Source organism: Homo sapiens, chromosome 3 (assembly GCF_000001405.40).
Source record: "Homo sapiens chromosome 3, GRCh38.p14 Primary Assembly".
Classification (NCBI taxonomy): Eukaryota; Metazoa; Chordata; class Mammalia; order Primates; family Hominidae; genus Homo; species Homo sapiens.
The window spans coordinates 128,844,561-128,871,741 of NC_000003.12; the positions used below are offsets into that span (position 1 = coordinate 128,844,561).

At 51.4% G+C, this 27,181-nt stretch overlaps 1 non-coding gene and 3 pseudogenes across 2 annotated transcripts, besides 7 other annotated features; 1 reads left to right on the forward strand and 3 right to left on the reverse strand.

Moving 5' to 3' along the window:
* Positions 720-1,717: an enhancer, noted in NCBI's record as "H3K27ac-H3K4me1 hESC enhancer chr3:128564123-128565120 (GRCh37/hg19 assembly coordinates)". NCBI's record gives its function as "activates a minimal SCP1, AML or CMV promoter by ChIP-STARR-seq in naive H9 embryonic stem cells {active_cell/tissue: H9 hESC(naive)}" and the evidence as "EXISTENCE:reporter gene assay evidence [ECO:0000049][PMID:30033119]".
* Positions 1,296-1,505: a silencer, noted in NCBI's record as "silent region_14713". NCBI's record gives its function as "represses an Ori minimal core promoter by ATAC-STARR-seq in GM12878 lymphoblastoid cells {active_cell/tissue: GM12878}" and the evidence as "EXISTENCE:reporter gene assay evidence [ECO:0000049][PMID:35858748]".
* Positions 1,706-1,755: an enhancer, noted in NCBI's record as "active region_20497". NCBI's record gives its function as "activates an Ori minimal core promoter by ATAC-STARR-seq in GM12878 lymphoblastoid cells {active_cell/tissue: GM12878}" and the evidence as "EXISTENCE:reporter gene assay evidence [ECO:0000049][PMID:35858748]".
* Positions 1,706-2,715: a biological region, named in NCBI's record as "H3K27ac-H3K4me1 hESC enhancer GRCh37_chr3:128565121-128566118".
* Positions 1,718-2,715: an enhancer, noted in NCBI's record as "H3K27ac-H3K4me1 hESC enhancer chr3:128565121-128566118 (GRCh37/hg19 assembly coordinates)". NCBI's record gives its function as "activates a minimal SCP1, AML or CMV promoter by ChIP-STARR-seq in naive H9 embryonic stem cells {active_cell/tissue: H9 hESC(naive)}" and the evidence as "EXISTENCE:reporter gene assay evidence [ECO:0000049][PMID:30033119]".
* On the forward strand, positions 2,248-2,348 carry MIR12124 (microRNA 12124). Its single transcript, NR_162138.1, has one exon. It is a non-coding gene; the product is annotated as a microRNA 12124 (primary transcript).
* Positions 2,716-3,713: an enhancer, noted in NCBI's record as "H3K4me1 hESC enhancer chr3:128566119-128567116 (GRCh37/hg19 assembly coordinates)". NCBI's record gives its function as "activates a minimal SCP1, AML or CMV promoter by ChIP-STARR-seq in primed H9 embryonic stem cells {active_cell/tissue: H9 hESC(primed)}" and the evidence as "EXISTENCE:reporter gene assay evidence [ECO:0000049][PMID:30033119]".
* On the reverse strand, positions 3,133-4,851 carry MARK3P3 (microtubule affinity regulating kinase 3 pseudogene 3; annotated as a pseudogene).
* Positions 7,060-8,448, reverse strand: MARK2P6 (MARK2 pseudogene 6; annotated as a pseudogene).
* On the reverse strand, positions 16,948-26,981 carry IFT122P3 (IFT122 pseudogene 3; annotated as a pseudogene). The gene is made up of 5 exons (NR_034179.1): positions 26,761-26,981; positions 25,044-25,233; positions 23,254-23,366; positions 20,722-20,886; positions 16,948-17,362 (listed from the first exon to the last, which is right to left on the reverse strand). The product of NR_034179.1 is annotated as an IFT122 pseudogene 3 (transcript).
* Positions 19,647-20,473: an enhancer, noted in NCBI's record as "H3K27ac-H3K4me1 hESC enhancer chr3:128583050-128583876 (GRCh37/hg19 assembly coordinates)". NCBI's record gives its function as "activates a minimal SCP1, AML or CMV promoter by ChIP-STARR-seq in primed H9 embryonic stem cells {active_cell/tissue: H9 hESC(primed)}" and the evidence as "EXISTENCE:reporter gene assay evidence [ECO:0000049][PMID:30033119]".
* Positions 26,982-27,181: the final 200 nt, after the last annotated feature.

Here is a 27,181-nt window from a genome sequence, read left to right on the forward strand (position 1 = left end):
GTGGGCTTTGTTCTGGTGCCTGAAGCCACTTCCCTATGGTCTCTTGATCCAGCCTAGCTGGCTGAGCCTGGAGCCCTGGCTTCCAGAGAAGAGATGTCAGGCTGTACCACAGGTCATGGGCCAGAAACAATTATGGCCTTGTCCAGTGCCAGTGGAAGCCAGGCCTGGGGAGGGCGCCTCCTCTCACAGGGCTGGCACTTCCCGAGGGTGGATGGCAGCAAGGTGGGGAAGACAGACTCTGAGGGGCCGGCCCTTCGGGAGCTCAAGCAGAGCCCACAGGGACCCCGTCTGGGGTTGCAAACTGGCATTGGGTGGAGGGAGATTCAGTATTGACACCTGGAGGACCCTCACTCCCAAAGTGGATTTTAAGGACAGCAGCACACTGGGGAGACAAGGGGGCCCACAGCATTCCCACCTGGTCCCCAACCCGCTTCTGGCTTCCTAGTCCTGTTCTCTTGGGGGAAACAAGACTCTTATCTGACTTTCTCTGACTTCTGTCCCTGCTTGGGCAACTGAAAATGACAAGTAGGAAATACTGGCTTGCTTTGAGCCCCCTTTGGTTTTGCTGGGAAGGTGGAAACTTTGGCAGACGGGGAAGGACAGATGGGAACCCCAGGAGGAAGGGCCATTGCTCTGATGGTGGAGCGCTTCCTCTTCTGTTCTTTTGTGTGTTCTAAAACGAGGTATGTGCCATGGGAGAGTTGATTTCTTTTCCAGTGTTGACACTGAGATGTTCTCGGGCTGGAATCCCCTAGCCACCATGACCAGGGCTGTAGGGGGCGCAGGTGCCCAGGTTCTCTGTATGGTGTCAGCAGCACCTCCCGGCCAGCATTGACCCAGGAATTCCACATCAGCTGGTTTAGTGGGGGCCGCTCCCTGGGGCTGAGGGTGAGGAATTGTTTTACTAGTGTCTCCAGTGGAAATGAAAAAATAGATAAGGTGTCGTATTGTCATATAGCTTGAGGCAGAAAGGAACCACGGGTGGGGCTGGATGTTCTTTCAGCCTCCCTAGCAGAGATCACAGACAAGAGTGGTCAGCTTGGCCTAGCTTCTGCGATGGCTGGCTCTGATGTTGGGGAGGGAGGCAGTCCCCAGAGCAGGAATGCCTTCCCTGGGGTTCATATCCTTGCAGGGTAGGAGCTGGAAATCCTCCCATCAGAGCCTCCTTCACTGCAGCCCGTGGGGGCGAGTGACAGGGGGATCCGTGCCCCACGGGCAAACCTCCGGGCTCTGGCTTCAGCCCCACCCCGGGGAAACATGCACAGCCCCTCGGGAGGAGCCCTGCTGCAGGCTCAGCTGGGAGTCCTGGATTGCCTGGCAGGGCTGAGATGCCGTTTGGGTAGCCTCGGGTCTCCATGGAGACAGGGGCGGGGCCAGGCGGCAGGGGCGGGGTGCCCAACAGCCAACTGCCCGCCCTCAACCGCCAAAAACCCACACTCAACCGCCAAAGGCCAAGGCCAAGGGCCCTCTGGCGCTGCTGCCCCCACACGGACTGGCGCCCTCTGCAGGTCCCGCGGCTCCCGGCCCGCTCAGCGCCTCCGGAGGTCTCACCCAAGCCCTATCAGCTGGGTCCCTACGGGCCTCAAAGCGCTGGCCCAGCCGCGGGGTCACTCCTCTGAGCCTCCCGACCTTCCATGGGTCCTTTGGAGCCCTGGGTTTTGGAGCTTGTCCTTCCTCAGTGCCGCCCGCCGGGACGTGGCTGCACCAGGGCCACAGCACCTCGGGGGCCTTCATTTCATTTATGCCCACAAATAATCATTCAGTGTGCTGGGACAGAGAAGACAGACACGCTGGCCCCCTGGTGGGCGAGAGAGACTGGTCTATCAGTACAGAAAACTCCCAGTAGGGACAGGGGCTAGGAAGGAAACACCAGGAAAAGTGATGATGGAAGATGGGGGTGACCCTACTGCAGATGGGGTGCTAAGGGAGGGCTTCTCTGAGGAGATGACATTCACTTGATTGGCAAAAGGGACAGGCAGGGCCTGTGAAAGTCTTCTAAGAGGGGGAACCGCAGTGCCCAGTGGGCTGTCCCAGGATGGAACTAGGGCAGCGGGTGGGGGTGGGGATGTGAGCCAGGCAGGCAGGGCCCAGACACCGTGTGATGGGTGCGGGGGTGGGACCCACGGAGGCTCTGAGGAAGCTTTGGGCCTCAGAAGATGGAGAAACAGGAAGACCCACTTGGAGGCCTGCACCCAGGCAGGGGGCGAGAGCTGAATGCATCGCACCGCCCTCCTGGGGCTACCCGTGGGCCTCGCTTTCTTTCCCCATGCTCTGCACTCTGCCACGCACCCCTTCCTCGGCCAGGCGGACAGAGGAAATGCAGATGCTGGAGGCAGGAGCACTGGACTGGGAATTAGACTTGGAGTAAAATCTAAATGCCCTATGGGCCTGGCTCTTCTCTGGAGTTCGGCTTCATGTTAACTGTGATTGGGGGACAAGGGACAGTAAGACCGGCTCTCAGACCCTTGTCACTCCACACTGCAATGCTTCTCAGTGGTCTCAGGGGCTTCTATTTTAGGAATAGTTACCTGGCTATAGAAGAATAATGGAAGGAAACATGTTTTGAGTGGCGCTTATATCAGGCTCTAGACTAGGTATTGGTTTTGATGGGGAGTTGCTTTTTTTTTTTTCTCCCTTTCACAAAACCTGAGTCCTGACTAGGGCCAGGAGTTAGATTCCAGTTTCTAGATTTTCATCATTCCATGTTGCACAAGGCAGACATCTAGGGGACAGAAGGGCAGATTATTAGCATGTAAAGGAAAGATGATTTAGCTAGAGAAGATGTAGGAGAAAAGGAATCAGGATGAGGGGATTAGGAATGGGAGAGGAGGAGCTGGGGGACAGGGAGTTGGGGGCGGGGCTGGGACAAACAAAAAGGAGGTGTGGAGGGTGCCAGGGAAATAAAGTCCAAGAGGATAGCGGGGACCAGAGTCACAGCCTTAGTGGGGCCTCAGGAGAGCAGCAAGCTATGTCTACCTTGGAAAGGTGGAGAGAGGATGGCAGTGAGCTGGGCAGGGAGGAAGGGGAAGGGGGCAGGGCAGAGGAAGCAGGGGACAGACCGGAGGAAGAGATGGTGCCCTGGACCAGGTGGGGCAGAGGGGCCCTCTGGTCTCCAGGAGGTGTCATGCTGTCCTTCAGCTCATCCGTAGCTTTGGATAGGAGGCCTTTGAAGGCCGCAGGGTTGCCAGATGCCGTCTTGACTAGAATCATGTTCACTGACCCCGGCAGCAACTTGGACACCTCCATCCTCTGCTGAATGCCACTGGGCTGGGTGTGCTGGGCACATGGAAGCATTGGCCTCTTGCCTGCCTCCCACCCACAGCTGTTGCAGTCTACACATGGCCAACATGTCACAGGTTTTTAATATTTTTGAACCTCAGGGCCTTAATGCAGTAAAATGCAGGAAGTGCGGCTTGACTGCCCCACCTACTCGATTTTTGTCTTCAGCCATCCAACTATGTCGGGGCAATCATTTTGCTTGTTTTCTTCGGTGGACACACACATAATACTTTTAAAAGCATTGAAAGGCATCTCCTGGCGGCCCTGCGGCAGCCCCAGCTTCTTGACAGCGAGGCGACATCACAGCTTTGGGCTGCCCAGCTTGGAGGACGCTGGCTTCCTGTGATGATTGTCACTGAGCCAGGGACCCACTGCTGCTGGTGCTCTGGCTGGAGGGAGAGGCCATGGAGTCATGCTGGGGGACTTCACTGGAAATGGCTGGCTTCCTCTGCAGGCCGGCAGGTGCACTGGCAGGAATGGTGGTCTTCTGTCCTGACTTCTGGCCCTCCTCGGGCAGCTGAATTTTAAAAGTCTCAAAAGCTGGCTCGCTCTGAGCCCTCTTCAGTTTCTCCCAGAAGGTGGAAACTTTGGGGGCTGGGGAAGAAAAGGTGGGAACCCCAGAGGAAGGGAGGGTGCTCTGATGGTGGAGCGCTTCCTCTTCTGTTTTTTTGTGCACTCTAAAATGAGGCAGGTGGCCATGCGATAGTTGAATGTTTTTTCTTTGACATGGAGATGCTCTTGGCCTGGAATCCCATGGCCACCATGAGCTGCGTTGTTGGGGTTCGGGTAGTTCAGGAGTCATTCTTGGTATGAAGTCAGTAGCATCTTCTGGCCACTGTCCACCCACGGGTCCCTCATTGGTTGTTCCAGTGGGGGTCACACCCTGGGGTCTAGTGTTAGTAACTTTTTAATAAATCTATTTGAAATGAAAAGAAAAATGGAGGCAATGTGTACTTTCCTGTTTATTTTGTTCTTGATGTGCATAGAGTAGAAGGGCAGAGCCCCGGCTACCATGTGGTGTAGCATTACTCTAAGCATACCTCCACGGCGGGCACTGACACCCCTGGCCCAGGAAGAGTTCTGGGGCCACGTAGGGGGTACGTGCCACAAAAGGCTGGCACACTTCGTAAGTGTGGTGCTGAAGCCAAAGTCCAGGTATTTGATGTTGCCATCCTCATCCAGTAGGATGTTTTGTGGCTTTAGGTCTCCATGTGAGATGTTCTTTAAGTGGCAGTCCTGCAGTGTTGACGGAATCTGCCTGAACCGGGTGTGGGCCTCCTCCTCCTCCTCGATGTGGCTGTGGTGGCATATCTGGTGGTGCAGCTGTCCTCGTCCGACGCACTCCATCTCCAAATAGTCGGTGTCTATGGTGTCAGTCACCTGATGGAGCTGAATGTTCAGACGCTTGAGGGTCTCCGTGATACTGACCTCTCTGGAGAGTGATGCGGGGGAGCCAGCCTTCTTCGGGATGATTTCCATGGCTACCTGGGTCCCTGTCAGCATATGCTGGACCAGTGTGCCCTCACCGAACGTGCCCTGGCCGATGGTCTTGAGGATCCTACACTTTTGGATCTCTTCATCAAGTGCGTTGGAGGCTGATCCCTCCTCCGTGGTGCCTCCTAACTACCCTGACTACAAATCCTACCTCTGAACTATGCTAACTGAGGCACAACGCCAACTCCAATAACTAGGCTAGAGTCGCACAGGCTGCCTGGGGAGGGTGGAGACCGAGAGCCCTCTCCAGAGCCTGGTCTCCTTTGCCATGTTCCCTCTATCATTTTCCCTTGCACAGGAGAGGGGAGGGGTGTGCCCAGAAACTAAGAGCCACTCCCCTCCTTATCCTTTCATGACTCTTCTGGGGTCACACCCTCACCCTTGCCCACCCTGGAGCCCCCGTTTTGCTTTGAGGGGACCCGGGCCAGTGACTGTCGAATCACACCTGAGGCCCTGGGTGCATCAGTGGCCATGTGGGGGCAGCTAGGAGGTGTCCCCAGAGAGGCCCTGTGGTCATCCCCTGCTCTGCGGCTGTGTGCAGACCCCGGAGGCACAATCAGACTTCAGGGGCACAGCCAGAGGACACTTCCCCTCCACCGTCCCCTTTAGACTCTGCAGAATCCCTGGAGGATATCCAAGTGCACACAGTTTGTGCTCCCCAGCTACCCCGTGAGGGCACGCCCTGGATTAGTGTGAACAAATGGAAGCTGCTCCCGTGGGCAGGTCGAGTGCCTCTGGCACTCCGTTGGCTGCTGCCCACAAAGCTCCCGGCCATGGCCTCCCGGGGGGCTGCACTATCACTCTGGCTGCCTCCAAATGGAGAGAGGACTGCAGTGACCTGGGCGGGGTTAGGGGAGAAGGAGGTGGCAGGGCAGAGGAAGCAGGAGCACACAGGAGGAAGAGACAGTGCCCTGGGCCATATCTTCTCTCCTACCCTAACATGAGCCAAATTAGAACCATCTGGATGAAGAAAAGACAGAGAAGAGCAGGGCAGGGGAGAAGTGCCCCAGGAAACACTGTCCAGGCTTTTACATTCCACTAGGTGGGATGGAGGCGCCCTCTGATGTCCAGGAGGCTCCAGGCGGTCCATCTCACCCCTTCCTTTGGATAAGAATGCTTTCAAGGCCACACGGCTACCAGAAGCTTACTTGATTTGAATCCCATGCAGAGACCCCTCTGCCACTTTACACACTTCTGTCCTCCACTGGACAAGGCCTCCAGGCTGGGGGTGTCAGACACACAGCAGCGAGGGTGTCTTGCCCAGTTCTCCCATGCGGCCGTTGGAGCCCACACGTGGCTGACCTGTCATGTTTGTAGTGTTCTTGGACCTCAGGGCCTTCGTCCTCTCCATTCTAAGTACAGAAAGACATTTGACTGACATGGACTCCCTCAGGTGTTTTGCAATACGCAATACATTCTCATTGACTCTGGTCACCCTGCTGTGCACTGGATGTGAAAACCTCTTCTTCCTGTCCATCTCAGACTTTGGTCCTTTGAGCAACAACTCTCCATTCTCTCCCTCTTTCCCACCCCCACACCTGATACCCAGCCCCTGGTCACCATTGATCTACTCGCTACTTCTACGGGGTCAACATTTTTCGATCAAGACTTCCGTAACTTCATGTGGAATTTGCCTTTCTGAGGTGATGGAGATGCTAAGATTTGATCATTCCATGGTGCACACATCTATCTAATCCTCACATTATATCCCATAAATGAATACAAGCATAATTTTCCAATTAAAAATAATAATTAAAAAATAATAAACGGCTAGGTGCCATTGCTCACGCCTGTAATCCCAGCACTTTGGGAGGCCGAGGCGGGCGGATCACCAGGTCAGGAGATTGAGACCATCCTGGCTAATATGATGAAACCTCGTCTCTACTGAAAATACAAAAAATTAGCCGGGCGTGGTGGCAGGTGCCTGTAGTCCCAGCTACTTGGGAGGCTGAGGCAGGAGAATGGCGTGAACCCGGGAGGCAGAGCTTGCAGTGAGCAGAGATTGCGCCACTGCACTCCAGCCTAGGCGAGAGAGTGAGACTCCATCTCAAAATAATAATGATAATAATAATGAACATATGACTCAGAGACATTTTCTAAAAACAAAAAAAGAAACCAACAAAAGCATAATAAATAAAATAAAGTGCAGAAAAGGCAGCTTGCCCCCCACCCTCCGCTTGGTTTGTGTCTGGGCCGCAGCTGTCCCCTGGGTTTACTGGAGCCACTGTATTTCTCCATGCACAGTGGGTCTTTGGGGCCAGGAGGAAGCAAAATGTTTTTGAAGACAAATCTAGTGGCTCCCTGGCAGCCCTGGCTCTCTTCACAGGGAGAGGCTGAGGTCACACCATCTGATGCCCAGTGGAGAGGGTGCTGGCTTCCCGGGCTGTTCCCTGGGGACAGGTGACTCCTCCTGGGTCTCCCACATGGACAGAACTGACGTCCTGGGATGTTCCCTGGGGGCAGTTGACTCCTGGGCCGCTCCCACTGCTGCTGGTGCTCTGGATGGAGGGGGAGGCCACAGGGCCACACTCGGAGATGTGCTGGTATTGGGTCACATCACCTCCAGGCCCAGAAGGGGACAAGCAGGCAAGGTGGCTTCTCTGGGCATCTTCTGCCCTGGCCCTGGTCCTCCTTGGGTTGCTGGATTTCTGAAGTAAGGGTGGGAAAGGCCACAGTCAAGACCTTTTTCACCAAACATTCCAGCCCTTGACTCCCCTTTGGTTGGACAGAAAAGTTGGACTTAACTTTGGGGGATGGGGAAGGTCAGTGGGATCCCCAGGATTAGGTAGGTGGCCATGGAATAATTATATATATATTTTTTCCTACTGGGGATTCCTTGATGTGCCTAGAATGTCACGGCTACCAAGAGTCAGGTTGTTAGGGGGCCCAGGTGACTGGGGAGCAGCTCTATGTGTGGCCCAAGGGTTCCCTGGCCAGCATTGACCCAGGGGTCCCGCATCAGCTGGTCCTCTGTGGGTCATTCTCTGGGGTCAAGGATCAGAAATTTCTTGATAAATATTTCAATTCGGAAGGAATATAGACAGTACATATTTTCCTTGAGTATGTTTTTTTGAGGCTGAGAAGTTCTGCCTGCCAAATGGCAGGGCCCTGGCCCCATGTGGTAGACGGGAGAGCCAAGACCCACACGACCACTGCAGGGCTGTGATACTCGTGGCCCAGGAAGAGTTCTGGGGCAGCTTAAGGGGAGTCCCACCAAAGGCGCTCAGCTTCTGGCCTTGGGAATATGTGGTGCTGAAGCCAAAGTCAGCTCTTTTCATGTTGTGCTCTTCATGCAGGAGTCCTGCCACCCAGGTCCTGGCGGCTGACTTTGGTGGCAGTACTACAGGGCAGATAGTATTTGCAGAAACATGGCTTGAGCCTCCTCCTTCTCCATGTGGCCAGGCTGGAGTGTTTGGTGGAAAAGGTCTTCACTATGAGTATCACCATAGCTCAGTATGGGATGTCTGAGGTTTCAATGACATGATATGGCTTTATTATGATGGGACACTCAGGGCCTTCATGACGTCTACCTTTCTGTGTAGACTCAGAAGGCTGGGGGAGCCCCTAGTTATAGATTTTATTTTTACAGCCACCTGAGTCCCAGTGAGTTCGTGCTGGGTCAACTTCACCTCACCCAGGCTTCCCTGGGCCAATGGTCTTGAGGACTGTGGCATTTTTTTTTTTTTTTTTTGAGACGGAGTCTCGCTGTCGCCCAGGCTGGAGTGCAGTGGCTCGATCTCGGCTCACTGTAGGCTCTGCCCCCGGGGGTTCACGCCATTCTCCTGCCTCAGCCTCCCGCGCAGCTGGGACTACAGGCGCCTGCCACCTCGTCCAGCTAATTTTTTGTATTTTTAGTAGAGACGGGGTTTCACCATGTTAGCCAGGATGGTCTCGATCTCCTGACCTCGTGATCCGCCCGCCTCGGCCTCCCAAAGTGCTGGGATTACAGGCATGAGCCACCGCGCCCGGCCGAACTGTGGCATTTTTAAGGGCCTCCTCAATGGTGGAAGCCAGACCTGGAGAAGGTGCCTTCTCACAGGGCCGGCACTTCCAGAGGGGAGTGGCACCGGGGCGGGGGCACAGACTCTGAGGGGCCCTTGGGGAGCTCAAGCAAGGCCCACAAGATCCCCCTCTCAGGTTGCAAATTGGCATTAAGTTGGGGAGATTCAGTATTCATACCTGGGAGACACTTGCCTTCAAAGTGAAAGGAAATCCTGGGGAGGTTTTGGTGCTCCGGAAGGCAGGCAGACAGTGGGGCTGCAGCCAGGCCCTCTCCTCTGCATGAGGCTTTATGGGGCCTCAGCGTCTCCCACAATGATGGGGTCCCCCTGAGCTCCTCTTTTCAGTGTTCCCACATGAGCCTGAGTGTGGGGGACTTTCTGAGCCATTGCCCTCTGACTTCCCCTCTGTGGGCTGGGGAGGAGCTGTGAGGAGCTTCAAGGTGTGGGGTCGGGGCCCTTGGGCAGCCATCTTGGGGCACCCGAGCCCCAGCCCTCGGGAGCCCAGGTGCAGGCTCTGCCTCCACCTCTGAACGGCTGAATGGCGTGTTCAGCTGCTGTGGGTGGCAAGCAGGGAGGGCCGTGACAAGGTCTCCATTCCAGGCTGATGTTCCAGATCTGCAGGGGTGAGTATCAGGGAGGCCCGGGGTAATCACCCTGCCCAGTGGTGGCCTCTGCCATGGGCACACAGACTCCAGGCCAGGGAAGAGACACAGCAGCAACCTTGGAGGAGGGGCCTCTGCCCACCTGTGTGACAGCCACCAGGGGCTCCTGGCTTCACAGCCTTGCTGGGGAGAGATGGGAAACTGAGGCCTGGGGACCCTCAGCTGCCTGAGGTGCAGCTAGACTCAGATCCACCTGAGGCTGCCCAGTCCACCTCTTCCTTACTTCCTCCTTCCAAGAATATGGGCACAGTGGTGAGAACTTGGAGATAAGAGATCGGGACCAGTCCCAGCTGGAACCACTGCCCCACTGCTCAGCCTCTGGCAGCCACTCCTCTCTGGCCTGAGTGTCCTCTTAGTTCAATGGGCATCTCTAGGTCCCTGTGGTACCTTCCTTGTCACAGGCACATGAGGGGTCAACAGGATCATCACCCAGCACTGTTCACAGACACAGACTGAGGCTGGATCCTCGGAATCAGAGCTGGAGGGGGCCCTTTTGTGCAGATGGGGAAACTGAGCCTTGGACTGACTGTTGCGGGAATCAGGAGACTGGAGAGACCAATGGGTGAAACAGGAGGATTTTATTTAGGTGGCCACCGGCCTAGTGGGTTAATATTCAGAGGCTGATAAATGAACAAAGGCCAGGCTTAACTTTTATTCAGGCAACTGAAGGGGAGTGGCTAGCCAGTGGCACAAAACTTGCAGGGTGGGGAAAGCAAGCTTACAGAAGCAGAACAAAGGCAGTTAACTGTGACAGGTTTTGCAATTCAGGCATGTCTTGTGACCTTTGCCATCCTGCACAGATGGGAAAACAGGAACTTATAAAATCCTTGCAAACTTGCAGAAATAGTTACAAAAATAGTTACAAGCGCAGAACAAAGAATAATGGCATTGGGAGAGAATTCCAGGGGGAGACGGATAAGAACTTGTTTTTCTCATCCCTATTCTTGGAATCCATTTCTTTGGGGCCCCTGCCTGGCCTTGCAGATAATGTTATCATAGCTCCAACTGGACTTGTTTTCCCTTTACTTGTTTTTCTTATATTTCCTGCTTAATTCTCCCCTTTGATGCTGTTTATAAATAAAGTTTAATAGAAAGCATTATCATCAGAATTTAATTCTCCATGAGGAGTTAGTCCTTTATTTGGCAAAGGTTGATATTTGATTAATGCCATTAGTTGGGTGGTGGTTTACCTGGTTACAAGAACCTCTATGGCTGATTGGATGTTTTTAACAAGGAGAGGTAGGAGACAAGGGAGTGTGAGACAGACTCCCAGTATGACCAGAACTATTCCTACTAAGGTCTTAAATCTTCCAAGGGACGAAAACCAGCCCCCAAAGAGGGTATCTGGAGACCATCCTTTCCAAATTTGGACTGGGACATGGGCTAATTTTTGAATTTTTGCAGTTATATCTTCAATGACCTTCCTATTGTCATCAATTTCTAGGCAACAATTAGTTTAAAGTTTCCGCATACCCCTCCTTCTAACATGGATAGAGGGAGTAGCAAGAACAAAGTAAGGAATAGTATGTTCATACCCAGCATGGACAACAGAGGTCCTTATCCAGGGGAGGAGGTTGAGCACAGTGACAGGTTAATAGTAAAACAATTAAGATTACAAGGAAAATTACTGGGCTTAAGATTTCTAACTACATTTACTTCCTAGATGAAACTTCGGCTGTGCATAGACTAGTCAGCTTCTGGGGTGACTAACAGGACTGCTGTCTCCTCAAGCTTCAGCTGTGCATAGACTGGTCGGCTTCTGGAGTCACCAGAGCAGGGCTGTTGTCACTTTCACTGGCACCTCGGTCCTGTCATAGGATCAGCTGGTTTGGATGGTCTGAGTCTTGCTGGCTGGTCCACTTGTCCTGGGCTGCCAGTTTCAGCCAACTGTGGTGGATCTAAGGCACGATTCCTGCAACTTTAACAGCAGTGGTAGTGGACAAGATTACAGTATGGGGCCCATCCCATATGGGTCCTAAAGTGGTTGGATTCTATTTCTTGACCTAAACAGAATCCCTGGGTCTAAAGGGGTGTGTTTGGTCTGTTAGTCCTATGGGCATTCTTTCCAGTACCCAGCCATGGATCTCTTGCATGGCTCTCCCTAAGGCCTGCATCTGCCTTCTCAAGGTTAGCTCCCTTAACTCACGGAATTACCTTAATTTTGACCTTTAATTTGACCTATGGTTGGGGGTGGCTGGCCGAACAAGATTTCAGAGGGTGAATACCTAGTTTGTTTGGTGGGGGTACACCTGACTTGGAGGAGGACCATGGGCAGGACCTGATCCTATCTTAGATGAGTTTTTTGGCAATATTTCTTTAGTAGCTGCTTGAGTGTCCGATTCATGTGCTCCACTTTTCCTGAGCTTTGTGGCTGGTTGACTGTGTGTAATTTCCATTTCTGGAATCCCTGGGGGCCTGGTTTGCAACATGTCATGCACTGGTCTATATTCATTAGTCCTTGGTTTCCACACTGGCAAAAGTGTTCTACAGTGACTGGCATTGGGCCAAGGTCCTGTGTTCTAATAGCTGCTTCAAATGCCCTTGAATGCCCTGTACAGCTTCTTGGGGAAGTACTGATGAACCTGAACCAGTGTTGCCCCCGATTTTAGTTCCACTATCACTGGTGCCTGGTTCACAGCCAGGCCGGGGCGGGTGGTATCTTCGGCCTACACTCCAGGAATTTTACTAGGTAACTTATACAGCTCATCTAGCCCTGGCTTTGGCAACCCATCTGTGTACAGTCTCCATTCCTCTGCCTGCGGGATGGTAAGGGTTAACACCATTTCTTCAGGATGGAGCAGGCTTAAAGTCATGGGCTGTATCACTGCCAAGTGTTCAGCCCCAGTGTTTACTATAAAGTCCATCAGGTGGCCCCCTTCTTCCACCATGACATGGGCTCCTGGGGGCCTAAGAAGATGGAGCCCAGTCTGGCCTAGTCCTCATACCTTTCAGTCCCTGCCAGCCCAATAAAGTCGGTGTTTGGCTGTTTCTGGGTGTGATAGCCTTTAGCTGGCAGCCTTCTAGCTCCTTGGCTTCCTCCTCTCCCTTATTGCCTTCTGGACATTCATTCTTCCAGTGTCCTTTCCTCTTGCACTGCGCACACTGGTCCCTATCTAGTCTTGCCCAATTCTCGGGTCTTTGCCTGATTTAACTTCTTCCTTGTCTGCACCTATGTCCATGTCCACGTCCTCTCATGACACTTGTCCCCTTCTGTAAGTGCTGCCAACAGCAAATCGGCCTTTTTCCTGAGTCTCTGATCAGCCTCCTTCTTTGCCTCCTGATCACGGTTAACATACACCTTGGTGGCCACTTCTAAAAACTGAGTGGCATTCATGCCTGTGAAGCCCTCTAGCTTTTGCAGCTTCCCCTGATGTCCCCCTGGGCTTGTCCTACAAATGCTGTGTTCACCATGCACTGATCTTCAGTGGCCGCGGGGTCAAATGGGGGAGTATAAAACTGGAACACCTCGCTGGGTGCAGTTGCTCATGCCTGTAATCCCAGCACTTTGGGAGGCCGAGGCGGGCGGATCATGAGGTCAGGAGATTGAGACCATCCTGGCTAACACAGTGAAACCCTGTCTCTACTAAAAAATACAAAAAATTAGCCGGGCGTGATGGTGGGCACCTGTAGTCCCAGCTACTCGGGAGGCTGAGGCAGGAGAATGGCATGAACCTGGGAGGCGGAGCTTGCAGTGAGCCAAGATCGCACCACCACACTCCAGCCTGGGAAACAGAGCGAGACTCCGTCTTAAAAAAAAAAAAAAAAAAAAACCGGAGCACCTCACAGAGTCTCTCATAAAACTGGCTGGGGCTTTCATCAATTCCCTGAAGCACCTCTGAGATCTTTCCTATATTGACGGCCTTCTTTCTACCCTCCCTTAACCCTTGCAGCAGTGCTTCTTGGTACCTCTGTAGGTGCTGAAACTGGGTTGCATCATTTGGGTCCCAGTTAGGGTCTGCTTCTGGGAACTGGCCCCGAGCGTAAGCCTGAACATTAAGTGTGCCTTCTGGTGCACTGGCTTTTAACCAGTGGAGGGCTGCCTGGGTTACCCTCCGGCACTCCTCGGTGTTAAACAGTGTCAGTAGTTGCTGTTTGCAGTCTGGCCAAGTTGGACTGTGTGTCAGGAAGATGGACTGCATAGATCTGTGAGGGCTTGGGGCTTCTCCATGTAGGAGGGAGTATGGTGTTTCCAGTTTAGGAGATCGGTGGTTGAAAAAGGCTGGTAAATGAAAGTTCGTTCTCCTCCTTGGACTTGGCCCTGTTCATTATAATAAAGAGGTCCCCTTGTTTCCCTGAGAGGCATTTGCATAACCTGGGTGCAGCCAGACTGGAGGCAGCCTGCTTAATCATCCTGACTTTGCTCCTTGACCTCCTGGGATGAGAGCTCAGATTTCTCCCTCTGGGGTGTAGCCTGGGGCGTATCACCATCTGAGTCTGGCTGCTCAGGAGCCAGCCTTGGTAAAGGGGGGTATTGGAGTGTAGGGAGGAGGGGTCTCTATCTCCTCCAGTGGTTCCTGCAAAACCTGTGGCTTTCCCTTTGTCTCTGCAGCTGACAGTGAAGCTGAATTCTCTTTCACTTTTGGCTCAACTCAAGCTACGAGCGTTCTGCAATAAGCTGCTAGGCAGGGCTGCATTCAGACCATAAGGGAATTGGTCTGGATGCCCTGGCTGTTCTCTGACCCTAGTCACCACCCGATATACATGGCCAATTGTTTCTCTATCTATAGTCCTTTAGGCCAGCCATCCTACACTAAAAGAAGGCCATTCTATTTCACAGAGAGTTCTTAACCTCTGGGGGGTCAACTTGATTCCATAGTCCCTCTTATAACCTTTCTTAAAATTCTTTAACATACATTCTAACCGGGTAGGTTTTGACGACTTCCCTCCCATTTCCTCCTTTTTTGGCACAACACACTCTCACTTTCGCTTCAGACCAATTAGATCGTCTCCCTTGCGGGAGTCTTTCAGATGCTGCTTAGCTTTGGAGTGATCGTTAATCCCCCCACAATTACTAAATTGCGGGGCACCTTTCTGAGCCATATGTGGTAGCCCACGTAGGATGTTTGCCACTAGTCCCGGTCAGTCCCACACTTTGCTCGAAGCATACGGTCTATGCTAAGAGACCTGCAACCCCCACGTGTCACTCCCTGTGTTGGTTCCTTCCAGAACCATCTCTTTCACATGCACTCACACACCTCCCTGCTTCCAGTTTCCTTTCTCAACCAACTTAGCAAGCTACTCTCGCGTCCTGGTTTGGCTGGGGTGTAGGTTTCAACCGAAATAGTGAGCCACTCTCGCGTCCTAGGTCAGATTACTTGTACGCCCTAGGTGCCAGTTTCATCTGACTTTGCGAGCCACTCTTGTATCCTGGGTTGGACTACTTGGTGCACTCCCGGGAGTTGATCAGGTTCCCTTCCGCCCTTATGGGACAGGTCCTGCCTTGGGCCCCGAACCTTACTGTGGTCCTGAAGCATGCTGTTCCTGGAATCATCCTGTAGCCCCTTTAGGTTCTGTTGCGCTGTTGGGTAGGGGCACTGGATCACAGGAGAGCTGATCTCCCCTCTGGGTTGAAGTTCTCCTGATGGTCCCTGGGGTCACAGGCCTCCCCTGGCCTGGGGCTCCAGTTCCACAGGCAAAGGAGACAGTAAACCTGTCATCTCCGCTCCTGGCTGGCTTGCCAAAATGTTGTGGGAATCAGGAGACTGGAGAGACCAAAGGGTGAAATAGGAGGATTTTATTCAGGTGGCCACTGGCCCAGCGGATTAATATCCAGAGGCTGAGCAACGAACAAAGATCAGGCTTGACTTTTATTCAGGCGACTGAAGGGGAGTGGCTAGCCAGTGGTGCAAAACTTGCGGGGTGGGGAAAGCGAGCTTACAGAAGCAGAACAAAGGCAGTTAATCAAACTGTGACAGGTTTTGCAATTCAGGCATGTCTTGTGACCTTTGCCATCCTGCATAGATGGGAAAACATGAACTTATAAAATCCTTGCAAACTTGCAGAAATAGTTACAAAAATAGTTATAAGAGCAGAACAAAGAATGATGGCATGGGGAAAGAATTCCAGGGGGAGACTAAGAACTTGCTTTTCTCGTCCCTGCTCTTGGATCCCATTTCTTTGGGGCCCCTGCCTGGCCTTGCAGATAATGTTATCATAGCTCCAACTGGACTTGTTTTCCCTTTACTTGTTTTTCTCATATTTCCTGCTTCAGGACAGTGCAGCCAAGAGAGGCAGAGCCAGCCTGTGACTGTGCTGACCAAGAGCCAGGCTGGGGAGCCTTCTCTCCTGCTCTGGGCTTCTTTGCACACCCTTTGTTTGTTCAGCCTGTCTGTCCGCCATGGAACATCCACAAGACAGGACAAAATGCAGCCATAAATACAACGCAGGGGGGCCGGGCAGGAGGGAGGGGCGCTGGCTGTAAAAGGGTAGCACAACACTAGGCACTTGTGGTGGTGGCCATGTTCAGTGTCGTGACTGTGGGGGGCGGTTACACATGCCAACATGGGTGGCAAAATCGTCCTGGAGCTTTGCACACTGTTACCATTGCGGGAAACTGGGCAAAGGGTATAAGGGATCTCTGTATTATTTCCTGCAACTTATGTGAGTCTACAATTACCTTAACATTTTGCCATGCTGGATAAGAACATTTACTGACACAGAACCATGCTTCAGGAGATTGCTGAGTGAAAAGGCCAGATGACGAGTTTACAGCCAGCACTTCATAGACAGTGATGGGGCTGTCATAACCAAATGTGAGGTGAAATGAGAAGATGGCCATAGAGGAAGGGATGAGAAGTCTTGTTTACAGTCCAGGCTTGGGGAATACAGTAAATCTGAGGTTCCATCTATAGGTAGCAATACTTACACACATAAAAGTCATGAAACAGTATTTGCAGTGTGATTCCACTTTTGTTTAAAAATGTTATAAAATCACATGCTTCTAATTGTATATTATGCATACATTATATAGACACATAGAAAAGCTCTAAGCAGATGTATTTCAACATGTTTAAGAGTGATTCTGTCCTGAGGATGGGATACTAAGGGCTAAAGTTTCTCGCTGGTGCGTGTCTCTGTTTTACGGCAATCCTATGGTAAGCACCATCTGCGTGGGGTGCAGGAGGTGAAGGGGAGACCAGCTTGCACTCAGGAGGTCAATCTCAGCCTCCTGTCTGTGGTTCTGCCCTCCCGCATTCTGTGGCTCCACACTTCAGTGCCCCATTTCTGCTGTGGCCACCTCCTAGTTCAGGGGGCTTGTGCAGAGTCCCATGCTCCCTTATTGGCTCACAGACCTCAGGCCTCACCCCCCCCACCCACTCATTCTCTCTCTCTTCCCCCTCTCTCACACACACATCACCACCATCACACATGTGCTCACACACACACACCCTGCTGGACTCCCGGCTTTGCTGCTCTCTCCACTTGGCCCACACTGGGCTCTCTGTAAAATACACTCTGCTGACAACACTGTATACCCCTCTGAATCCTTACCAGAAGGGGGACCAGGAAGAAATTGAGGCACAGGGAGGTTGAGCTCCTTGCCCCCAGTCACACAGGTTGCAAGGAGTGGAGATAGGGCTGCAGGTTCCAAGCCCAGACTGCCTCCCACGACATCACAGCTGCCATTCTTCTCTCCTTGCTACTCTCTCCTCAAAGCACCAGCCAGGGGCCCGGCTTCCCTGGTCTTACTGGCCTTGCCAGTGCTGAGAGTGGACAGGTGCTCCCAGTTACCTGTGGCACCTCCACGGCAGAAATGAAGACGTGGAGGCAGAAGATCTTGGAGCCATTGTAGCCGACCACAAAGCCCTGCAGCTTCTGCCAGTGCACAGGGAAGATGCTGGCTTTGATGTTGAGGTTGCCTCCTCCCGAGAAGCAGAGCATGTCCTCACACTGGGTGTTCCAGGCCACACTGTTGGCGTTTGGTTCCTGGGGGACAGGGACAGTGGGGATCCTGTGAGAACCACCCTGGGCTTGGGCAGCGCTTGCACATTTCAGCCTAATACCCTTTTAATGACTGAATCCCACTAAATTGCTTACAGTGGGATGGAGGGAAAAGGAGGAAAGGGGACCAAAAAGAAATGAACAGAGGCAAGAGAAATGAACAGAGGCAAGCCCCTCCATGCACCTGCGTGTTGTTGGAATTTTTGAGTAAGCAGGCGTTACTTTTGAAAAATATTCCCCTGACAATTCCTCAAGGATCTAGAATTAGAAGTTCCATTTGACCCAGCCATCTCATTACTGGGTATATATCCAAAGGATTATAAATCATGCTGCTATAAAGACACACGCACATGCATGTTTACTGCAGCACTGTTCACAATGGCAGAGACTTGGAACCAACCCAAATGTCCATCAAGATAGACTGGATTAAGAATATGTGGCACATATACATCATGGAATGCTATGCAGCCATAAGAAAGGATGAGTTCATGTCCTTTGTAGGGACATGGATGAAGCTGGAAATCATCATTTTGAGCAAACTATCGCTAGGACAAAAAAACCAAACACTGCATGTTCTCACTATAGGTGGGAATTGAACAATGAGAACACTTGGACACAGATGGGGAACATCATACACCGGGGCCTGTCATGGAGTCGGGGGGGAGGGATAGCATTAGGAGATATACCTAATGTAAATGACAAGTTAATGGGTGCAGCACACCAACATGGCAGATGTATACATATGTAACAAACCTGCACGTTGTGCACATGTACCTTAGAACTTAAAGTATAATATAAAAAAAAAAGAAAAATATTCTCCTGCAATATGAGTCCCTATATAGAAAGTGGAGAATCAGACCAGGTGCAGTGGCTCACACCTGTAATCCTAGCACTTTGGGAAGCCAAGGCGGGTGGATCACCTGAGGTCAGGAGTTCGAGACCAGCCTGGCCAACATGGTGAAACCCTGTCTCTACTAAAAATACAAAAATTAGCCGGGCGTGGTGGCATGTGCCTGTAATCCCAGCTACTCGGGAGGCTGAGGCAGGAGAATGGCTTGAACCCGGGAGGCAGAGGCTGCAGTGAGCCAAGATCATGGTGGCATTGCCTGGGCAACAAGAGCGAAACTGTCTCAAAAAAAAGAAAAGAAAAAAAAAGAAGGTGGAGAATCAGCAAAGTGGGATTCCACTTCTATTACAGAAGGAATATACATCTCTGTAAACAGAAGATTTACAAGAATATGTTCCAAAGGATTAACAGCGTTAATGGGTGGGCGAAATTGTGTAATGAGAAAATCTTTTTTGTTTGCCTGAATTTGTTCTGTCATGAACATCTATCTATTGTTTGATAATAAGAGAAAGAACGGTAAGTTATTTGTAAGATTTGAAAAGAATATCTTGTTCTTTGCATTTACAGTCCACACATTGTGAAAATAGTCACCCTGGGAGGCACCCACTGCACCTCAGTTCCCTGCTCAGCCCTGGAGCCTCAGGGACCAGTAGATGCTCACAGCTTTCTGCCTAGAATGTTTTACAATGTCTGAATCTTTTATAAATGAGCGCAGATTGCTTCTATAATGAGAAAAAAATATATAGCTGTTTTATGTGTAGGGGGAGGGGCAGTGGAGAAGAGGAAAAGCCAGCAGGCAATGTCACAGCTGGGAATGCTGATGTCTCCTGGCAGGGCTGAGAATCACCTCCCCTAGCCTGCTATAGAGCCAGCAGTGGGGACGGGGGCACGCAGACACCCTTCCACATTTGTATGATTCTAGGCTCAGACACAGATTCACATTTGGGGCCAGCTACGCCCCCTATAGGTGGGAGGTGAGGCTGGGAAGAAGGGAGGTAACATTTCAGGCCCCATTTTGTGCCCAGCACTGAGCTAGGCACTGTGGTATCTTGTTCATTCCTGTAGCAATTCTGTGAGGGGCAATTACTAATTTCATTTTAGAGAAAAGAAATCAAGGCTCAGAGAGGCTCACTAACTTGCTTAAGATCACACAGGAAGGGATGCAGGCAGGACCCAAGCCTAGGTCAGCCTGAAGGGTGTGCCCTCTCTTTCCCCCGAACCATTCTACTCTCTCAGGGACATGAGTGAGTTGAGACTGACAGGGAGTCACCTCTGGGCTAGAGGTGGCCAGGTAACTCCTTTTTTTTTTTTTTTTTTTTTTAAGAGATGGAGTCTCGCTCTGTCGCCCAGGCTGGAGTACAGTGGCGCGATCTTGGCTCACTGCAAGCTCCACTTCCCGGGTTCATGCCATTCTCCTGCTCAGACTCCCAAGTAGCTGGGACCACAGGCACCTGCCACCACGCCCAGCAAATTTTTTGTATTTTTAGTAGAGACGGGGTTTCACTATGTTAGCCAGGATGGTCTCGATCTCCTGACCTCGCGATCCGCCCACCTCGGCCTCCCAAAATGCTGGGATTACAGGCATGAGCCACTGCGCCCGGCCGAGGTAACCCCTTCTAATTGACTGAGGCTGCTCCCCACTCCAGGCCCCTCCCCCCTATTGATTCTGCTGCGGAGAGCAAAGAGGAGCCTGGTAAGGGAACTGAATCTGCCAGTAACATCAGGAAACCCTGCAGTGGCCGAGGAAACCAGTTAGGAGGGGCTCCAGCTTTGAGGGGAACTCGATTCTGCCAAACCAGCCCTCCCCACCTCCAAAGCCCAAAAGAGACAAAGAATGGCACGAGCCCAGCAGAAAGCCAGCCAGGCCCGGGGCACAGAGCTGCCGGGCTGTCTTCTCTGGTGACACACTTTTTCAGCCCACAGGGCTGGATGACTCCACTAAACAACGCCTACAACCCCAAAGATCCAAGCACTTCGCATTCTGCTGGCTTTTCTAGGATTCTTGTGAATTAAACAGAAGGTCAGGCTTGCCCATCCCCTTCCCCCTTTCAGATGACAAAACTGATTCTGTTTCCTTCCCTCGCTGTAGGTGTGCATAGACAGAGGCAGGCCTGCAGCAGGTGAGACGCAGACTTCTGCAAAGGAAGTGCATCCATCGCCCCATTCACTGAGTGCTAACGTCACGCCCCCCTCAGAGTCATTGCCCCATTTCTTGTTCATGGAAAACGCTTAAGAAAGGCTCTGCTGGCTCATCTCATTGGCAAGAAAACCAAAGTTAAAGAGGCTGGTCCAGGCCCTGTGGCTTGTGCCTGCGTGGGAGGAGCAGGTTGTGGCCCAGGGCCTCTGGGACTCTATGCATGTGCTTGGCCCCTGCCCCTCACTGCTCCTCCCAGAGACCTGCCTGGGCCAGAGCAGAAGAGCCTCCTGCAGGGACTGGGAAGCTAGAGAGGGCCTCTAATCAAAGGACGATGTCCCTGGGCCCCCTCGGGGACTTCACCTGAAAAAGCAGCTCCTTGGTGTCGATGTCATACACCAGGCAAGTGTCATTTTCATCTACCACGGCCAGCTTCTTACGGGAGGCACTCATGTCCAAGCAGCGCACAGCTGTGGCCTGCTTCAGCAGGACGATAGCAAAGAGATTGTCCACGAAGATCTTCAGGATCTGGCAAAATTTCAGCGAAAACAGTGTCAGTCACCATGGCAACAAGATCCTGGCCCACTGCCAGGCCGTTGGACTCCCATGTGCTCTGCAAGAACAACTCCCACCACCTTCACCAGAAGCTCCGTGCAGGGAAAAGGACTCATCAAAAGAAAGAGGGGGTGGGGCGTTGGCTTATCCTTAGGAGGCCAGAAGCGAGGTTCATCAGAGGCTGCAGAAGTAATGACAGACCCGAGACAGGCCGAGCTCACTTCAGTGTCTGTTCGGACTGGGGATTTGTTGATGACATTACCCAGACTGCAGCGTTAGGAGATGCCACCTAGCAGAGATCTGAGTCACGAACTAACATAAGAAAAGGCTACTATGAACACTGACAAGACATGTGGTAGAAAATTATAATAATGATGACAGTGATGATGACAGCCATCATCTACTAATATCCCTGGTTTAAAAAAAAATTTTTTTAGAGATAAAGTCTTGCTATGTTGCCCAGGCTGACCACTGTGGCTATTCACAGGCTTAATCATATCACACTGCAGCCTCAAACTCCTGGGCTCAAGAAATCCTCCTGCCTCAGCCTCCTGAGTAGCTGGGACAACAGGTACCCACCAGCATGCCTGCTTTAATATCCCTGTTTGGGTATTTTTTTGAAACTGGATTTAACTCCCAACCTTGATATCTATTTTTGACAGCCCTGTGAAATGTAGTATTATCCTCATGTGAAACTGTAGCCTCGGAGAGGTAAAATGACCTGCCCAGGGTGACAAAGCCTGTGAGTAGCTAACTAAGAACATGACCTCAGGCCCACCTGACCCCAAAGTCCATGCTCCCATGGGAAGTGAGAGCTGCCTGAGAAAGAAGCAGCCCTTGGCTTTGTTCTTGACTTGACCCACCTCCCCTTGGCATTGTTCTTGACTTCACCCACCGCTCTCACACCCCGTGACTTCCATCCCCAGCAAAGACCTGACAAGCCTTAGCCATAAGCCATCTGCTGCACAGCTTGGCTCTCAGGCTAATGCAGCTACATTTTCAGTTTTTTGTTTTTTTTTTTTTTGAGACGGAGTCTCACTCTGTTGTCCAGGCTGGAGGACAGTGGCACGATCTCGGCTCACTGCAACCTCCACCTCCCAGGTTCAAGAGATTCTCCTGTCTCAGCCTCCCAAATAGCTGGGATTACAGGCGCCCGCCACCACGTCCAGCTAATTTTTGTATTTTTAGTAGAGACAGGGTTTCGCCATGTTGGCCAGGCTGGTCTCGAACTCCTGACCTCAAGTGATCCACCTGGCTCGGCCTCCCAAAGTGCTGGGGTTACAGATATGAGCCACTGCGACTGGCTCATTTTCACTTTCAAAGTTTCATGTAGCAGCCCACTTAGAACTTTTCTTATGTTGAGCAAAGAACATGTATGCACATGCATACATACACACACAGAAATCTGTTTAACATCCCACACCGAACTGGCCAAGGGGCCAATTTTTCTTATGACATCTATCAGTATCCTGAGGACCCAGCATTCTCTAGGACACATGCTGGAACGCACTGCCTTAGCCCACTCGCTGCCCTAATCAGGAGCTGACCTAGGTAACAATCTCTGCCTCCCTCTAGAAATCCACAGAAGCAGCATCTCTAACAAATCTTCCACCTTCTGATGACCTTAAGCCACTAATCAAGTCTACATGTAGCCAGAGGCTGTAGCTCAACTCTGCCAGAATGGGGGGGCCTGCTATGAGTGTGAGGGCCACTGCACCTTTGGCCTGACGCTGTCCTCAAAAAACAAAAACTTCTCTGAAGTCTCAGAGTTGGAAAGAGGGGGTGAAGCAACTTGCCTGAGGCCACACAGCTGCACTGAGAGGTTAAGTAACTTGCCAGAGGCAAAACAGCTGCACAAGAGGTTAAGTAACTTGCCTGGGTCACACAGTTACACAGAGGTTAAGTAACTTGCCTGAGGCCATGCAGCTGCACAGAGAAACTACACAACTTGCCTGATGTCACACAGCTTCATACAGTGGTTAAGCAACTTGTCTGAGGCCACACGTGGCACACAGAGGTTGAACTTACCTGAGGCCACACAGCTGCACAGAGAGCTTAAGTAACTTCCTTGAGGCCACACAGCTGCACAGAGAGGTTAAGTCACTTGCCAGAGGCAAAACAGCTGTACAGAGAGGTTAAATGGCTTGTCAGAGGCAAAGCAGCTGCACAGAGAGGTTAAGTCACTTGCCTGAGGCCACACAGCTGCACAGAGGGGTTGAGTAACTTGCCTGAAGCCACACAGCTGCACAGAGAATTTAAGTAACTCGACTGACGCTGCACACAGAGGTTAAGTAACTTGCCTGAGTTCACACAGCAGCACAGAGAGGTTAAGTAACTTGCCTGAGGTCACACAGCTGCACAGAGAGGTGGGGGCATCAGTGGAGCTCCAGAGTCAAGGCTACAGTGAGCAGTGACTGTGCCACTGCATTCCAGCTTGGGCAACAGTCAAGACCCTGTCTCAAAAAGAAAGCAAAAAATAATATAAAAAAGTCAAACATAGAGTTAATGTATGAGTCAGCAATTCTTCTCCTAGGTATATGCCAAAGAGAATGGAAAATAGATGTTCATACAAAAACTTGTACACCAAAACTTACAGCAGCATTATTCATAGTAGCCAATAAGAAACAAGCTAAATGTTTATCAATTGATAAATGGATCTGAAAATGTGCTATATCTATATAGTAGAATGTTATTTAGTCAAAAATGAATGAATCATGTTTGGGCATAGTAGCACATGCTTGTAATCCAAGCACTTTGGGAGGCCAAGGTGGGAGGATCCCTTGAGACCAGGATTTTGAGACTAGCCTATGCAACATAGCCAGACACTGTCTCTACAAAAATATAAAAATTAGGCAGGTGTAATGGCAAGCACCTGTACTCCCAGCTACTTAGGAGGCTGGGACAGGAGGATCGCTTGTGCCCAAGAGTTTGAGGCCGCAATGAGCTATGAGTGTGTCACTGCACTCCAGCCTGGGTGACAGACTGAGATCCTGTCTCTTAAAAAAAAAAGATAAATCATGCTGCAACACAGATGACTTTGAAAACATGCTAAATGAAAGAAGTCAGTCTAAAAAGACCCCATATTGTATTACTTCATTTTGATGAAATGTCTGGAATAGGCAAATCCATAGAAACAGAAAATAACTGTTGCCATGGGATGGGGAATTGGAGGAATGGGGAGTGACTGCCGATGGGAACTGGGTTTCTTTCTTTCTTTTTTTTTTTTTTTGAGACGGAGTTTCACTCGTTTCGCAGGCTGCAGTGCAATGGCACAATCTTGGCTCACCGCAATCTCTGCCTCCCAGGTTCAAGTGATTCTCCTGCCTCGGCCTCCCGACTAGCTGGGATTACAGGCATGTGCCACCAAGTCCGGCTAATTCTGTATTTTCAGTAGAGATGGGGTTTCACCATGTTAATCAGGCTGGTCTCGAACTCAAAATCTCAAGTCATCTGCCTGCCTCGGCCTCCCAAAGTGCTGGGATTACAAGCGTGAGCCACCGCGCCCGGCCGGAACTGGGTTTCTTTTTGGGGTGATGTAAATGTTCTGAAGTTAGATAGTGGTGATGGTTCCACAACTTCGTGAATATACAAAAAACCCTGAATTATACGCTTTTTTTGAGATGGGGTGTCACTCTGTCACTCAGGCTGCAGTGCAGTGGCACGATCACAGCTCACCACATCCTTGATCTCCTGGGCTCAGGTGTTTCTCCCACCTCAAGTCTCCTGAGTAGCTGGGACTACAGGTACACACCACCACACCTGGCTAATTTATGTATTTTTTTTTGTAGAGATGGAGTCTCACCATTTTGCCCAGTACTGGGATCTGAATTGTACACTTTAAGAGGGTGACTTTTATAGTATGTAAATGATATCTCAACTAAAAATTACATATGTGGCTTACATTATATTTTATCGGACAATATTGTTCCAGACTATGAACCCTGAAGCCAGGCACCAAGAGGTACCAAGATAAAGTCTCTACATAGTGATTCCACAGCAGAGGGCCTGGGCTCCAGTTCTACCCCATAGACCCCAGCCCACTTGTTCTTTCCCTGGCAGCTGAGGAGCTATGACGTGGGGCTTTCCCAGACTTGCTCTGACTTCTTAGAGATGGCAGAAGCATCACCGACCTTATTCCCCAGGACCAGGGCACTCTGATGCTGGCAGACAAGCCCTTCTTCCTGGTGCTGGAGGAAGATGGCACAACTGTAGAGACAGAAGAAGAGTCCTCCCTTCCAAGCTCTGGCAGGCAATACAGTGCTCCTGGTCCTCCAGAAGGGGCAGAAATGGGAGCCCCCATCAGAACAGGTGAGGTCCCACCTGTTGGGGGAGAAAAGTGGGACCCTGGGAGAAGTCTTCAAGGGGTGTAACCATCTGCTTGTCTCAATGCAGGGGATGAGGCACCCACTGTCTGTCTCCCATAAGCCTGCCAAGAAGATGGATGTGGCCCGCATAACCTTTGACCTGAACAAGCTGAGCCCACAGGACTTCATCAGCTGCCTGAACGTGAAGGCGACTTTCTATGATGTGTACTCCATTTCCTATGATCTACACTGCATGAGGCTGAGTGCATGGTGAAGTGAGCAAATTGGGATTTGCTGGGGACACCTCCATGGCACCCTCCATCCCATCCTATCTCTTTCCTCATCTGGACTCATCTGATCTGAATTGGTCTTTGATTTGTCTGTGCACTTCCACTAGAGTGTCAGCTCCTGGAGGACAGGAGTCCCATTAGCCCTGCTCATCCTTGTATCACACCTAGTGACAGCCTGGTATGTCGAGGGTGCTCATTGCATGTTGGTTGAGTGAGTAGCCGATGGCACCAGGACAAGCAGCAAATCTTGAAGCTGAGGGGAATCCCAAATCCTATCTTCAGACAGAAGTCTGCTCCTTGTTCCTTTCTGGGATGGGTGAAATGCGGCCTGGGGAGGAGGTGGTGGGAGAGGGAAAAATGCCTCCGTGGATTCTGTTACACAGAAGCCAGTGGGTATACTATCTCCCACCAAAACAGGGGAGCAGCTCCAAGTATCCCTGGCAACAGCAGCCACATGACCTCAACCTCGCCAATCAGAAGAACCCAACCTACACAGCCACAGTGATTGGCTAACACCTGGGCATGTGACCAATCAGGTGGCAAGGGTCAGGACAAGGGTTGGTAGCAGGGGAGAGAAGGTCTATTTCTGTTGGGTGGCTGGGGCTGTGGGTGCCATCTTGTCACCTTGAAGGGAAAGCCCACCTGAGCACGACATCCACACTGAGGGAAGGACACAGAGTCAGAGGTTGGGAGAGAGTCCAGGTGACATTATTAAGCACCCACGTGCAGCCAAGGTACAGTTACCCCAGAACATTCTCACTGGGATCCAGGTGGCTGTGAAGGTCACCTAGAGAGGTCAGCAGAGCTCCTCCAGCCTCTGGAGTTGACAGCTGTGAAGTCGATATAATAAGGGCCCCGAATCACCCAACCTCAATCAGCTCCTTCCAGTGACTGCCATCGTGGGCACTCTACACTGAGTCATGTAGCATGCCAGCTGGGGCAGCTACTTCACTACATCCTAGAGCCCCACCAAAAGCAGGAGGAAGAGGCCTGAGGCAAGTTCCGGCAAATACTATCTGCCCTACAGTACCACCACCAAAAGAAACATTTCCACAGGAACCTGATGCCCCAGAATGTACTTGTATTTACAAGATGCCAACTACAACATAAAATATCTTTGTCTTTGGCACCAGATTTATGATAGGCTACAAGCTGGACACCTTCTGTGCAACTCCCTGTTATACTGCCCTATGGTGAATGGGTAGAGGTGGAATCTGGAGTAATTTTTTACACCACAATAAACAGAACCTTACCATTTGTCAGACCTTTGTGGAGCTGAAGAAACAAATACTGTGTGGCAAATATAAGATACAGTTGTTCCTTTCTTCAGAAGGAGAAGAGGCCAGGCGCGGTGTCTCACGCCTATAATCCCAGCACTTTGGGAGGCCGAGGTGGGCAGATCATGAGGTCAGGAGATCGACACTAGCCGAGACCACCCTAGGTAACATGGTGAAACCCCGTCTCTACTAAAAATACAAAAACAAAATTAGCCGGGCGTGGTGGCGGGCGCTTGTAGTCCCAGCTACTCGAGAAGCTGAGGCGGGAGAATGGTGTGAACCCGGAAGGCGGAGCTTGCAGTGAGCTGAGATCACACCACTGCACTCCAGCCTGGGCGACAGAGCGAGACTCCAAAAAAATAAATGTTAAAAAAAGGGAGAAGGACTCATCAACACA